The 16,780-nt window shown below is 34.4% G+C and overlaps 1 annotated feature.

The window, feature by feature from the left end:
- Nucleotides 2,690–3,889: an enhancer, noted in NCBI's record as "P300/CBP strongly-dependent group 1 enhancer chr5:28136643-28137842 (GRCh37/hg19 assembly coordinates)". NCBI's record gives its function as "activates an origin of replication core promoter dependent on BRD2, BRD4, P300/CBP, MED14 and CDK7 cofactors, with strong dependence on P300/CBP, by STARR-seq in HCT116 cells {active_cell/tissue: HCT116}" and the evidence as "EXISTENCE:reporter gene assay evidence [ECO:0000049][PMID:35650434]".

Here is a 16,780-nt window from a genome sequence, read left to right as displayed (position 1 = left end):
TCACTCCCCAGCTACAATGCTCTCCTCATTTACATAGCCATTGAAATATATATGTTATAAAAACAGTGATTATGTGATATTTGATGGCTGAGAAAAGTTTCATACATCATTAGTGCCCTATAAATATTTATTGAAATATTACATACCTATTCTTAAAAATTTTAAAGACTAAGGTAGTATGATTTGTTATTTAACCCATTGATTTATCATTGCAAGCTAGCCCCAATCAAAAAATAGGATTTTTTGATTCCTAAGCAGAGTCAGAATTTTTCATGATAAACAGATTAGTTTGTTATACTACATATTTTTAATCTAATCATGTTTATCTAATCATGAACATCTCTGAAATAATGGAGTAATCTTCCATACAATGTTAAGTACCAATATCTGATGAATCATTGTAAATTAATGGCTAAAGTCTCCTCTTTATGTAGAAGATGAAGGACTTGATAGTAATAGATATCTAGATATAGCTTCAAAGAAAAAATGGGAACTTTTATTATAATGTGTGCTGGTCTTAAGACAACAGTCATTATGCTGGATGTTTCCATCAGTTAACTTTATTTACCTAATAGATTCAGAGTTTGATTCTATTTCATGCTTATACATTGTGGCCTTCAGATTTCTCTAGCCCACACCCTATTATTTAGCATAGATATGGGTGCTAAAGGCAGCCTACTGATACTCTTCCTCCTGCATTACTTTAGTTGGTAAACAAGTGAATAAATTCAGTTGATTCAATAGTGTCTTAGATCATTTTGTGCTGCTGTTACGGAATACCACAGACTGGATAATTTACTGTGAACAGAAATATTGACTCATGATTCTAGAGGCTGGAAAGTCCAAGGTAAATGTGCTGACCTTGGCAACGGCCTTCTTGCTATATCATCTCATGATAGAAGGTGGAAAGGTAAGAAAGGGTGAGAAAGAGAAAAGGGGCTGAACTTACCCTTTTGTAACAAAACCACTCCAGCAATGACTGTATTAATTCATTCACTCTGTGCTCCAGGCCTAATCACCTCTCATTAAGCACCACTTCCCTACCTTGTTGTATTGGCAATTAAGTTTCCAACACATGCTTTTTCCAACACATGGTTTTTGCTTCAAACCATAGCAAATAGTGAAAAGAGATCTAATATGTCAAAATAATTGCACAAGCTGAGGGTTTTTTTCTTGATTAAAGTCAATATAATTATTGTAGTTACTAAAAATGTCTATTGTATTATTGTTGGTTTGAAAGTTAATTTTTTGAAATATGGAGAAAAAAGTATAGATGTTGCTTCCAAGTAAAGTTAGAGTTGGCATTGATTGCTGTAATAAAGACAATTTGTACTTTTTGATTCATAATAATAGTTCCCACAAATTTCATGAGTGCTTTTCTGAATGCAAATGACTTTATTAAAATGTTATTTAAAAGTTATTAGATGCTATATAAATTCAGGGATATATAAGGAGGTAAGGTAGAATGCAAATAATACAAAAATACTATAATGAAATAGATAAATAACTGGCCTTTTCATCAGAATGAACTGGCTAATTGGAAAGATAGTCAAATACTGGATAATACAGGTGGAGCTAACACACAATTGTTTCATGAAATTGTCAGGTAAATAAAGGCAATCTAGTCAATGGCCTTACTGAGAAAGAGTAGAACCTAGCATGAAGACTGGAAGGGTAAAATTATCCTGAGGTCCTGTTGCAGATTCAAAGAAATTTTACAAAAGAAGGGGAGCTTTTGTCCTTAAGAATGTATGTTAGAGACTTACAGTGTTATACATACATATATGTATGTGTATATATATAATGTGTGTATATATATATGTGTATATATATATGTGTGTGTGTGCATATATATATATATATATGCACACACACATAACATTTTATATAAGAAAAAATATATATATATAATTTTACTTAAAGTAAAAAATGAAATACTAATCATCAGAAGGGTTTGAACCAGAGCTACTCCATTCTGAATGAGGGCTAGGAAAATGAGGCGGAGACTGGGCTGCATTCCCAGAAAGTTAGACATTCCTAGCCTCTAGGTGTTTATCGTTAAGGGAACAAATTAATAATATTTACTAAACAGACCCAGACTTGGGAGTGTCCAGATATCCCAATATCTGATGAACAAAGGCTTTCCTAATTTTGTTTTAAAGATAATAATATTGATTCTTGCAAAATATAGTAATTTAGAAAATTAATTCTTTATCAGAAACCCTTGTAGCAGAGTACATCTACCCATATATACAAGCATTGTACCTAGGGTGGATGCGTTCCTCCTCTTACTTTCAGGAACTACCTGCTCTGCCTATGGAGTAGCTGTCCTTTCACCAGTTTATTTTCTTAATAAATGTGCTTTTGCTTTGCACTGCAAACTCACCCTGAATTATTTCTTGCATGAGATCCAAGAACCCTCTTTTGGGGTCTGGATTGGGGCCCCTTTCCTGTAACACTTCTGCTGACATTAAGACATTCTTAGTTCACAGAGATAATTATACATAAATATTTTTCCTTACTATTGATAATGTATTTTGAAAGTAAAATTACTTTAGAAAAGTTGAGAGTACTTATGTTTTTGAGGATATTACAGATGAATGTTGAATTTAAACTATAATCAAATATAAGTACCTGCATACAGAGAAGTTTATATTTTAATATAGAGTAAAATTTGTTTATAATTTTATGAGCAAAAGATAACTATAGAGAAAGATGAGTTCTGTATTTTGAGTTTAGAAAGGATACTTTAAAATTCCAAATAATGACATACAAAAACAAATTGATAACAAGCAGGAGATCATAAAACCATTTAAAATAATTGTATTTTCTAATAAAATAGAGATACATATTTAAAATATCTACAAAATATATGTTTCAATTAGGAATATTAAATTGAAGTAAACATGAAATATATACATTTTTATAAATTTACTTCTGTGTAAATACAGTAATAATACTTACCATTATTGAATACTTTCAATGAACAAAGAACTAACTTTTAAAAAACTGTTAGATATAAGTTCTAAATTTTTCTTCAAAGAATCAATGTCAGTGTGTTCAATTCTTTGTCTTCTACTTTTAAATTTAACTTCCTCATAAAGCAACCTTTTTCGATTACCTGCTCCACTCTGACTCATTCTGATTACCTGCTCCACCCTGACTCATTCGGATTACCTGCTCATTTTCCACCCTGACTCATTCCAATTTCCTGCTCTGCCATAACCATTTTTCCCACCAAACCACTCACCCCATCACTCTCTTTAAATCAGCCAATCGGAATTAGTTTAGCCTGTGCCGTCTAACCCTAGCCAATAAGGGAATGAACAGCAGCAGGGGCCACGTGCGTCAGGGATAAGAACCCCTTCCCCTCCCTTGTCCAGGAGTGCGCTCACCATTGCTCCATCTGTAAGGGCGCACCCTTCTATAGAAGTACATTGCCCTGCTGAGAATTAAAAAGGAAATTTTATATTCGAGTGCTATTTCTTTTGAGGCACTGAAACTTTATTTATAACAAAACCATATATATTCCTTATTTTAATTATAATTTTACAAGTCTGGCAAGAAATGTGCCATTGTCCTCAATTTTCAGATGAAGGCATAAAGGCTCAGAGCCTTTAAGCTAGCAATGTACTGAATAAAAAATCAAACAAAGTTCTTTCTGACATTAAGGACTACATTTAACCACCATTTATACAAAAAAGTGTAGAACAAATGTAATGTGTTTGTGTGTATGTGTCTGTGTCTGTGTCTGTGTTTGTATTTTTTTCTTCTGTGCTCCTGGGTTTTCTGATTAGTATGCATATTACTTAAGAAGTTTTGCTCCTTGGAATGGATCTGGCCATGCCTGGCACACTATAATCCATTTTATCAGCTTCATGTAGATAGGTTTAGTGTGTAATTCTTCTTATTGCTTCTTTCTCATGTGTCTTTTGAACAACAAGGACCGAGTAGTGATTTACCTTTATCTTCTGCTGCAAATCTTTAGAGTTGGTGAAAAATTGGTTCTTTTCCTGTTGCCCAATTGAAAGGGGTATGAATTCAAATCGCTTCCTAGTTTAAATTGGCTTTTCATTTATGGAGTCCTTCCTCACATATTTGTCCTGGTTGATGGCTGAGATTTTTCATCGCTAAGTGCTTTGGCTTTCTTCAGAGGAAAAGCGCTAAGTGCCAAGTGTTACAATTAATATTAAAATGAGGTTCATTGGGTTTTAAAAGACGATTTAAAAGAAGCACAAGGGATTGCATAAGAAAAGCAACATATGGCTCTTTGTATTTTATAGATATGTTTTTCCATAAGGTGGACATTTTTCAATATATGTAGTTTTTATAAGGGAAACATAAAACTACATATAAAAACATGTAAAGAATTCTGAAATATTAGAAAAAACACAAGTTACTTTTCGTATTACACACATTTTAATTTTAATCCAACAGAAGTTTCACTTTGCTCTATTTTCTAGCTTTAATAACTGATCAAACATATAATTGACTATAGCTGTAGCATTAATAGTTTTGGACAGTAAGAAGTGTCTCATTGTTCTTTAAATGCAGCAGTGATGCAGAATGAGGCAGTGAGAAAAACACCAATATAACAGCAACTGTTTTATAATGCTCTAGAAGTAGTAAAAATAGTGCTTATTTAATTCTGAGTTGCTTTTGTTCAAGATGGAAATAACTTCCTACTATACGAATACAAAAGAAATGCATGTTGTTTTGAATTATTCACAGTTTATATAATGACATGATATTTTATTCAATCTTATGTTTGTAGTTTTTCAATTTTGTCAACTTGTACAATAATAATATGGTTCTTTAGAAGAAGACATGAATAAATCATGGTCACTCCATATTTTTCTAAAGAAATTATAGTTCATGATTTTATGATAAAAATAATATAAAATGTACTTTACTTTAAAGTATAAGATAAATACAGTTTCAGTATGCATCTCTTTTTCCTTATCTGCTTACATATCCATCAACCTGTGTGTAAATAATTATTGCTATTATTTCTAGCTGCTTCTTCAAACAAAATAGATCTCTAACCATTGAATCACATGATTCATGACATCTGAGAAGCAATTATAACTTTCCAGAGAGAAAATGTCAAATAAAATTACAGGTACTATAACAAACATTTTAATGTGATATTTTAAATTTTTAATCTAATCAAGTCATTGTAGGGGCCAAGGGAAAACTTCACCCTCTGAAGTTTTGCTGAAAGACCAATTCACAAAAGGCAGATTCGTAGGAGAAACGGCATACAAATTTATTAGCATGTATGGAGGAGAATCATGGAATGATTGCCCAATATCCCAATGGGGTACATACACCTATATATCCTACTTCTAAGGGGGTAGGGGATTCAGGAAGTGTGGATAATTTTAGAGAGGTAGTAAATGATTTTTAGGGGAATTAAATGGGCTTGAAGAACTTACAATGGCATGGGACAAAGTTTGTTGGGCGCACTGAGCAGATAATGGTTTGTGACAAAAGTCTGTCCAGGTTTGTTGACAGATTTCAATCTTTCTTTTTGTGATCTGAGTCAATTGATGAAAATTCAGGGAAGGGACCAGAGGTAATTGTTTTCTTCTTTGGCAGATCTGAACTTTAGACAGATAAGGAAACTTTAGAGAACAATTTTATCCTGTGCTTTAGGAGAGACAGCATTGAGAGACCAGAGGAAGGAGTGAAGGTCAGAGAGACCTTGAGAAGACTTCTTCAGTTCAGCATGTCAAAGTGCCATGGTTTGGGATATGTGTTTTTGAGCTCCAATACCATATTCCTAGTACTGTCTTAAAAATGTTTAAATAGGATGCTTTTCATAAAATTCCATCTGTTGGACAGATAAATATTTCAGAAATAGATTTTATGTATTCAAAGGTATTTTATTATTTTGATGTAATGCAAATCTCAATTAAAAAAAACTCCAAAAACACAGTAGATTTTGAGTGTATTTCATAAGCAAAAAAGCAATCATATGAATTTGTGTAGAAAGTAAATGTAAGATAATGATTTTGTAGTGGATCTTTTTTTCTTTTCCTGGATTGAATATTTATGACGCATATTGAAACAGATCTCCATAACGTATTTTTAAGGGGAAAATTCAACTTAAAATAATTTTAAAAACATTTGACAGATGATGAAATCAATCAGCAGATAACATACCCACATAGGCCACGATACTTCTATCAAATATTGCTAAGAGAAATTAATACTGCTAATGGAAATAAGAAAAGATTTTGATAATTGTAAGTGGTAAGCATCATTATAAAGCAAAATCTTCAATATTTTGGTTTAGCTTATTTTTAACAAGCAAGCGTAATTGTTTTACTTAATTGATCTCTTCAGCTTTCAGTGTTGCATGACTAGCTGTTCATCTGAGTAGCTCTGTTGTTCATTCCTGCATATTTCCAAGAGTGTGTGTATGTCACTACCCAATACGATGCTCTGGTTGTTCACTAGTGGGGGAGAATAAAACATACCACCCCTAAATATCAGGGACTATAGAGGTGAAGGCAATTACAAAGAAGCAGGTAGAGAAAAACTCTGTCATCCTTCTATATGCCTAAAAGCAAGACATGGATATACAAAGACAGAAGATATTCTTCCCTGTGACCAAATGCTTCCAACAGGCAGAACAAAGGTTAGCCACTGAAGAAAACTTTAGACTCTTACAGGATGATACCAGAGGAATCTACATTAACAAGCTTTACTAACTAGCCATTATGTGCCATTTATTTGCCTTCCCTTGATTTGCTACCCCTAAAGATTCCTTTTCCTTTGTCTTGTTACTTCCTTAAAAATTTATTGTTGTTGAAGATGACATATAACCTGGATTGCAAACCCACCTCTTTGAGAACTACTCATTCTCTGGGTGTGTCCCATATTCAGAATTTCCTTGATGTATGATAATTCAACTTATATATATATATTTTTTTACTTATGATAGTGTGAAAACAATAGGTCTTCAGTGGGCTTCTTGATGAAACAAATAACATCTGGATAAACCCATTATAAGTTGAAAAGTTTTGACTTACGATATTGAAAACTTACAAAAGGTTTATTGGGACATAAGAGCATTGTAAATTGAGGAACATCTGTACATACAAAATATGCATGCTAATAAATTTAGGCTTGTTTATCTCTTGTTAATCTGTCTTTTGTTACAGGAGTCCAGTCCAACAAATAATTTATGAGACCAAAAGAAAAAAATATATTTCCTCCTCTACACTGTTTAATCTGTTTAATGTTCAGTTGCAGAAACATATTTCTAAAAGTACATATTCCCAATGGTAATGTGTCATTTACAATTATTAATGAAGTCATCTATTGGTTTAAAAAGCAAAGATTCAGATATATATGTTATATTAAATCAAAGTAAAATCATTTTCTATATTCTTCTTCCTGTCAGTATTTCCAGAAATAAATTATAACACTTTAAAGACAAATGACTATTTAGTAAATCAGATAATTTTTAAAATATTCTTCTTTTGAGAATGCTGCATATGTGTCCACATGCAAATTCATTCAAGAAAATTTACCAGATATTATTTTTATGGTGCTGTGTTTTTGTAGTTTCTGCTTTATGAGACATATATGTACATGTATATACATACACACATATATGTCTTTCAAATATGTAATGAGTATTTAAAATTTATTTATGAAAAATTGAACAACCCTCTCCCCTTTATATATTCACTGTTTTTTATCCATGTTTAATGTTTAATACCCCAAATTTATCTTAAGCTTATTCTTTATTATTCAAATCAAGTCAACACATTGGTTGCTTAAACAATATACAAAAAACTTATTTGACAGCTGTACAAACTGTAAAAAATGTTATTTTATTTATGTGTGTATTTGTTTACATGTGTTTACTTCCTAATTGAGCCACAAAACTTTTCATTCCCGTAATATTATCCATGGGGAAGGCAGGGGCATAGAGAACCAGAACAGGTTTCCATACTGCAGCTCATAAACATTAGTTACAGTGAATGAATAAAGACTACTTGTCATAAAAACTCTAATGTTTTTCTCTTGTAAATTTGCCAGATGTTGAGTCACTTAATGTGGGAGGTTTAAAATTAATTATTCAAATCATTTGTCTGTCATTACATTCTCTGGTGTCATACAAAGTTGTGGTTGATAAATGCAAATGGCTAAACATCTCTTTATGAATGTAAACTTAAGGGCCTTTTTTAAATACATGGAAGGAAAATGAAAAAAAAAAACAATGTGTACTCTAGAGAGGTCATTTAGACAGTATTCTTGAAGCATGTACAATATTTCTCAACTTAGTAACTAATAACCTTTTATAATAGAAAACATAATCTCTTAAACTCACCTTTATGTGTCACAGTGAAATTAACTGTGATATGAGGCCAGGAAAATAGCAGAACCATTTGTGTCACATTTAAATATCTTTCCTAACTTAAATGAGAAATCACTACAAATATTATAGCCTAATCAGTTATTGCCATTAATTTCAGATTACATTTCATATTAATTATAGAAAAATTAAAATTACAAAATATTAATTGGAAAATATCTTAATACATTCTTTAAAAATGTTTTCTTCATTTGTGTAAATGCATATAAAGGTACCCAGATGAGGATCTTTAAATAACTCCTATATGTATTTTTTCCTTTACTTTAAATTTTGATCACTTTTTTGGGGGAATGTAATTCAGATAATAACATGAAAATGTACCTTTTCCTTTCTCTTGTAAGACAAAATGCTAGAGATGCTTCCAGGGAGGCTTACCCCTTTCTTTTAACTATGACTTTACGTGAAATTGAAATCATTAAATATGAAGCCTTTATAACTTTCATAGATACAAGGGCCACATTGTCAATAATAAACTCAACTACATTTTCTGTTCTTCCTTGGAAAACAAAATGCAAATAGTTGGGGTTTCAAATCAACTGATGACAATTTACTTATTATTCTCTTTTTACAGACTTTCAAGTCACAGAACTACAGGTTTCTCACCAGTTGCTCTTAGTCCCTTAGCTTCCATTAAATTAAGTACCTGAGATTTTTTGAAACTCATAGAGCTCACTTTCTTTTTCTCTCAAAAACGGAAAATGACATTAGCATTGGAAAATAAAAAACAAAAACTGCTTAAGAGGCAATCCTCTAGGAACCCACTGAACACTTTGTCCCTATATTTCTATTTCTGGAACACAAAGAGGAAATTTCTCCTAATAAAACATTTTAGGACTTACTCAACTCTATCCCTGAAAACATATGGTCCCAGCGCACCACTGCCGTTGATCACATTCATCAGTATCAACAATTAAAATACAGATAGATGAAACAAAAAGACTTCCAAATACTAAACAATACCTTCATGCCAGAAAGCCATTCAGGAAATCAAGGCAATTATTGAGGATTACCCCAAGCAAGGGTAATCATTTTATACACTAGGCAATTTAATACACCAATCCTACCAGTACAAAATTCAAATAACTGATTTGGAAATTTGTCCAAGACTTTACAGACATCAATAAAATTATAATACCCCACCATCCTGTTATAAGTAACCCACACACATTTCTACCAGCCATACCACCAGATAGTTAGGCTTTCTTTGTGACTGACCTCTGCAGTGCTTTTCCTAGCATCCCAGTTGATCCAGATAGCCAGTTTTGTTTTGTTCTTTTTCCTTAACCTGGGAAAGAAAGCAATATATCTGAACTGTAATGCCTTAGGGGTATATTGAAAGACCCATGTACTTTTCCCAAGTCTTAAAAGAAAACATAGCAGATTTGGAATTTCCTCTGCATTCTCTTCGTATTGCATATGTGAAGGACATGACTTTGTTCTCCACCCTAAAGGCCTCCATAGAGAAAAGCCTCTAACTATTAAAGAAGTTAACCACCAAAGTCCATAAAGTCTTTTAAAAAAGAAGCTAGAACTCTCTGTCTTCCATAAGTAAAATATTTAGAACATTACAATTCAGGACAGAGTCTTCTGATTGATCTTCAAAGAATAAAATAAATCTTGGCTATTCCTACCTGTGTTACCAAAAGACAACTCCAGTGAGTCTTGGGATTACCAAGATAGTATTGGGGGTCAACAACCAATACTCCAAAATATGGCCCTTTGACATGCTGAACTGAAGAAGAAAACTTTCAATGTCTCTCTGACCTCCGCTTCCCACTTCTGCCTCTCAATCCTCTGTGTCTCCCAAAGCACAAGATGAAGTTGTTCTCTGAAGTTCCCTTATATGCCTAAAGCTCGGACATGCCAAAGAAGAAAACAATTGCCTCTGATTCCTTCCGTGAGTTTTCATTAGCTGAACTATTATCACAGGAACAAAGATTGAAGTCTAACTGTGCACCTGGAAAGATATGTTACAAACCATTGTCTGCTCTGTGGGCCCAACAAACTTTGTCCTAGATCATTGTGTGTTCTGCATGCCTATTGAATTCTCCTAAAGATGATTTACTACCACACTAGAAGCATTAACGCTTCTCCATCTCCCTTTCTCCTAATAAGAAAGATATATAACCATCTTGTATTCCATGGTGTGGTAATCACTCGTGATTTTTCCTCTGTGCACATTAATAAACCTGTGTGCCTTTTTTCCCTATTAATCTCCCTTTTGTCAGTCTATTTGCAGCAACTTAGAGGTTGAAGAGGAAGTTTTCCTTTGACCCCTACAATAAATGTAAACAATGGACCCCAGATGTATCTGTCATGGCTCAGCCTCTATATTCTCTCTAAAAGCTGACCATCCCAAACTTCTACAATGTCCTAAAGAAGTCTCCTCCTCTTTTGAGCATTTTAAGGAGAGTCCTATTGAGAACCCTGCATTAGAACATCCTGCTTTTAACCTTTTCTGTTCCCTTTCTGTTTATGAACCAACTGGAAACACCTTAGTGATTCTTCCCCAAAGTAAGGACACCAAGAGCAACCCCTCAAATATTACAACCAACAGTTCAAATCTGTGGAGAAAATACTCCTATGCTGTATGCAAGCCATTGCAGTCACTGCATATTTATTAAAGTCAATTGAACAGTTAAGGATAGAATCTGTTAATTATTTATGTCTCACTCTATTGAGGCCCTCCTCAACTCTCATCATACCCAACTTGTCTCTTGCGAGGAAACTCGTTTCTTATGAAATCCTATTATTATCACCCTGTACTGCAAATGTTACGGACTACAATTCTTTGAATCTTGCCACTTTTACTTCTTCCTTCTGACAAGATGCCACATGACTGTGTACCCCTAACTGATAACTTAGAAACCCCCAGACAGGACCTATAGGAAATCCCTGATTTAAACGCTGAACTTATCTGGTTTACTGATGGATCCTACCTTCAAAATAACTCAGGGAAACATCTAGCTGTCTATGTTGTAGCCTCACTGTTTGAAAACATTGAAAATGATCCCCTACCCAACACCTTGTACTGCTTAACAGTCTGGTCTTTTCCCTCCTCTTAGTTGACAATTTTAACATACAAAATAAATTGTCAGGCAATTTAAGATGAGTCTATAGCTATCCCTCTTCACATATAAATTCACTTAAAATACGTATATCTCACTGCTTCTCTTCTCTTACATATAAGTTAAAGAGAGAGAAAATTAACCTGACTTTACCTAATCCATTTATGTTTTTAAGTCAATAAAGTATTGAACAATTATTCAATGAATGAGAAATAAGCAGATGTGAAACTTAGTATACCGAAGATATAATATTATATCAAAATATGGGTGATTGAAAGTAAATGCAAAAGTTATTTATGCTCCATAAAATGTTAGCAGAGTAATCACTGCCTTGGTCCACATAAGCATAACTACAGACTTGTGCCACACAAAATATTTAAAATTCACTCCAAGGTAGGATCATAACTATAATGAACATTCAAAAAATTTTCTGTTGAAAACAATATTTTCACCTTGTCTGCAGGCAATTATTTGTAGGTACAAAAAGGTGCTGGCAAATATTAAACTTTGCAGTGCATTTTGAGGCTGCAGTTGTGAATAAGGAAGATTGGAATATTATATTTTAATACTCAATAGATTAACACCATTTCCTTTAAAGATTTGTTTATCTGCAGACAAAATGTTACTAAGATAATCATCTGTTACTATAAATATATTATAACAATATGTCTCCATTAGCCTAAAGCAAAAAGTTTACTTTAATTAAAACCTGGGTCTTATAATTAAAACATCAAACACTACATATGCTAAGTTATCACACCACGTACAGTACTAACACATGGACTGTTTGAAATTTTTAACCAGAGATGCTGCTCTGGTCTTCAGGGTTTATTGAAAATCCCTTGAAAAAGAACTGTTTCATCTCTTTTGTGCAAATGTACAGCTGGCATTTATATTTGATAGTTTTTAAATAAAACATATTACAAGAAAAATATATTAAATTTTGGATTTAACCTTAACGTAATTTGAAATTTTATAATGACAAATGGTTATTTTTAAAGAGTGACTTCTGCAGAAGATATAATTAGTCAGTTTTAAAATTATTTAAAATATTTTATTTGCTACTATTGGAAGTCTGGATAAGTTGGCTTTTCCAAAGCTCTACAATTTGGGCTCTCTTGATTCCCTTTTCTTATTGCCTGCAATCCCCCTACTTATGTCTTGCTAAGCTCAGCCTAGAATAGCTAACACATACTTTAGCATTATCTCCCCTTAGAACAGCAGACTTAATATATAGTCCAACTTGGTGTGACTTCCATGTCATTATAAGTGACAGAATTATGAAGCATTAATTTCCCCATTAATAGCGTAAGTCACCATTTCCCAGACTCAGATAGGTTTCCTTACTGCTGCTACCTAAGAGCAATGAAAAGCCTGCATATTTTAGGTTACTGTAACAGCAGCACACCCCTTTAAGTAACTACATATTAATTACAGTAGCTGTAAGCAAATCAATTTTTTTAAACAAAGGAACAAATATGTGAATTTCACTCAACTAAGGTAACTTTCCTTTTGCCTCCTGAAAACCTACATTACTTGTGTTTTATTTCTATACTGAATTATTAAATTTTCTCATAATTGAATAATAATGTAGAAAACATACTACATAATGAAAAATAAATATAAAACAATCAGGTGCCCATCATATGCAATTAATAACATTGAATTTTATAAAATCTCACTAATAAATAAAATTTATTAGAAATAACACTTGATTTTCTTACGGTGATGGTGATATACTTCCCTTTTCTCTCTTCTTTTTTTTTTTTTTTTGTTTTTTTGAGATAGAGACTCACTCTATCACCTACACTGGAGTGCAGTGGCATAATCTTGGCTCACTGCAACTTCTGCCTCCCAAGTTCAAGTGATTCTTGTACCTCAGCCTCCCAGGTAGCTGGGATTACAAGCATGTGCCACCACACCTGGCTAATTTTTGTGTTTTTATTGAAGAGTTTCACAGTGTTGGCCAGGCTGGTCTTGAACTACTGACCTTAAGTGATCCTCCCACCTCAGCCTCCCAAAGTGCTGGGATTACAGGCGTGAGCCACCATGTCCGGCCTGTACTTCCCTTTTCATAAATCATTGAGAAGCAGAAAATGTCCCCCTGTCGTTTCTTCAGTATCTCCCTGCTCAAACCTCTAGGGTGAGCATGAAGACTGAAGACGGGCAGGTTGTGGGGCTCCGACCCCATGGTGGTGTCTAGGGGTGAATGCTTACAGCTCCTGAAGCCCCAGTGGGCTGTTTTGATGTCTGCAGGTTGCTTGTGTTCATCAGCTCAGTTACACCCTCTGCCTTATTGCAAGGACAGAGGGCTTTCTGTATTCCCGGGTTCTTTCCTTAGTGTACCGGAAAAATTGGATCACACATGGGCTGGGAGAATGAGTGCAAAGTTTTATTGAATGGAGGAAGCTCTCAGCAGATAGATGGAGAGCCAGAAGGGGGATGGAGTGGGAAGGTGGCATTCCCCTGGAGTAGGGCCACTCAATGTCCAGACTCTCCTCTGACCGCCCCAGCCAGATTCCCTTCTACGTTTTTCCACCATAGATGGCCTTCCAGCATCTGCTGATGTCTGCCGGTGTGTTCTTCTGCCAGCATGCTTCTCTCAAGTTCCAGCCACTTGTGTGTTCTTCCATCCATGTGTTTCTTTTGACATCCAGCTGTTTCTGTCTCTAACTGTTAGGGTCTCCGGGTTTTTATAGGCACAGGATGGGGGCATGATGGGCCAGGGTGGTATGGAAAATGCAACATTTGGGCAGGAAAACAGAAATATCTGTCCACACCTAGGTCTGTGGACACAGGCCTGGGGGTGGAGCCCTAGCCAGGAACCCGTTCTTCTCTACCCAGCATTTCCCTGCCTCCCTCCTGTATCCATTAGAATATATTTTAATTCTTTCATACATTTAAATGCATACCATCTCGAGAATGACTATTTCTCTAACCCTTTAACAACCAACCAAAACCTGAAAGCAATGTTTCGCTGTCATTTTAACTTGTGATTTCCTTTATAAGAATAGAAGCATCTTTTAAAATATGTATAAGCCAACTATAATTTTTTTTCTACAAATTGCCAGTTCACATCCATTGCTCATTGGATCACCAATAATATTTTAATTTATTTACAGCAACTTTTATTTAGAAGAATCAGTCATTTTCTTATTACATCTACTGCAAATGTTTCTATCAATTTTGCCACATAATATTTAATGATTTTTCTTCTGCAGACATCTTTGATTTTTTTTGTAGTCAAAATTATTTGTCTCAAATTATATAACTATTTGGTTTTCTGTCATACTAAAATTAAATTTATAAATCTATTGTTCTAATGTTTTAATTGATTCACTTTTGTATTTAATCTTTAACATAGTAAAGGGTAAAGAGTGACAAAGAAATAATTGTACCTGATAGATGACAGCTTGTAACTGGCCTAATTTCTCCAATGTAGGTCATGTGGTTCTCCTACCCATATTAACAATTCACAGAAAATAAACATCTGACTAGAACTCTCTGTGACATAGATAGAACAGAACAAAGAAACCCAAATAACTCATGATCTTTTTAAATTAGAGACTAGAAACAAAGGTATTAGACACTACAAAAATGACTAAATATTCTTATGGTTTCTCAAATGCTTCAACAAGTAAGAAATCCAGCTTTGTTTGGTTACATATTTGTTTCTTGGGTCTTTGGCTTGTATACATCAACTGAGTCGAAATATGAATTCAAAGCGTTTTGTTTTTTTTGAACTGTCTACCTATTTTATGAACATCTTACTGTAGATGTTTTGCCAACTCTAGAATACAGACCGATATGTATATGATCAGTAGTATATTTAAATATAGAATTAGGGAGTTAACACTAATATCATATTTAAATGTAAAAACTGAGTGATACTCTGTGAATACTTGGGCACATTGGAAAGAGGAAAACAAACTTTAGTAATCATACGTTATTTTAATGTACCTGTAATTTTTAGCATTATAAAATAACTACAGTGAATAAATAATTTTCAAATGTCTTTGAAAATGTTATTGTATACCTATATATTTTGCCACATGAAATTTTGTAAGGATAAAATGAAATGTGTGCTCACGGGAAAATATAATAAAGTTTCAGGTTTTCTTTTTTCTAGTTTTCACTGGTGAAAACAATAATAGTATATCTGACAAAATGTGCTTTTTTTGAGAAAGAAAAGAGCTTGGTAACTTGCAGAGAATCTGAGATTATTTGTCTGTAGCTAAGTGAAAATGAGTGGTCAAAAACTGAGAAGATATTTGTATCCTATGTGAGCACTCACCAATGGTTGACCTTAGGAGAGAAGTATTTTAATAATCAAGTGGATGCAACGACCGCTTCTGTGGACCCCACTCAGCCTCTTTCTCTAGTGACCTTTGTCATTGCCCAATGAACCCATGAACAAAGTGGCAATGGTGCCAGGGATGGAGGTTACTCATGGGCTCAACAACATGGACTTCCACTCACCAAGGCTGAAGTGGCTACAGACACTGCTGAGTGCCCAATTTGCCAGCAGCAGAGACCAACACTGAGCCCTTAATATGGCAGCATTCCTCGGGGTGATCAGCCAGCTACCTGGTGGCAGATTGATTATGTTGGACCTCTTCCATCATGGAAAGGGCAGAGGTTTGTCCTCACTGGAATACACACCTACTCTGGATATAGGTTTGCCTACCTTGCACGCAGTGCTTCTGCCAAGACGATCATCCATGGTCTCATGGAATGCCTTACCCATGATCATGGTATTCCACACAGCATTGCCTCTGATGAAGGCACTCACTTTATGGCTAAAGAAGTGCAACAGTGGGCTCATGGTAAGACAATTCAGTGGTCTTACCATGTTTCCCATCATCCCGACTCAGTTGGATTCTTAGAATGGTGAAATGGCCTTTTGAAATCACAATTACAATGCCAACTAGGTGACAACACTTTGCAGAGCTGGGGCAAAGTTTTCCAGAAGGCCGTGTATGCTCTGAATCAGCATCCAGTAGATGGTACTATTTCTTCCATAGCCGGGATTCACAAGTCCAGGAATTAAGGGATGGAAGTAAAAGTGGCACCATTCACCACCACCCCTAGTGATCCACTAGCAAAATTTTTGCTTCCTATTCCTGTGACATTACATTCTGCTGGCCTAGAGGTCTTAGTTCCAGAGGGAGGAATGCTGCCACCAGGAGACACAATAAAGATTCCATTAAACTGGAAGTTAAGATTGCCACCTGGACACTTTGGCTCCTCCTACCTTTAAGTCAACAGGCTAAAAAGGGAGTTACAGTATTGGCTGGGGTGATTGATCTGGACTATC

Source organism: Homo sapiens, chromosome 5 (assembly GCF_000001405.40).
Source record: "Homo sapiens chromosome 5, GRCh38.p14 Primary Assembly".
NCBI classification, from domain to species: Eukaryota; Metazoa; Chordata; class Mammalia; order Primates; family Hominidae; genus Homo; species Homo sapiens.
This window is presented reverse-complemented; position numbering and strand designations above follow the sequence as displayed.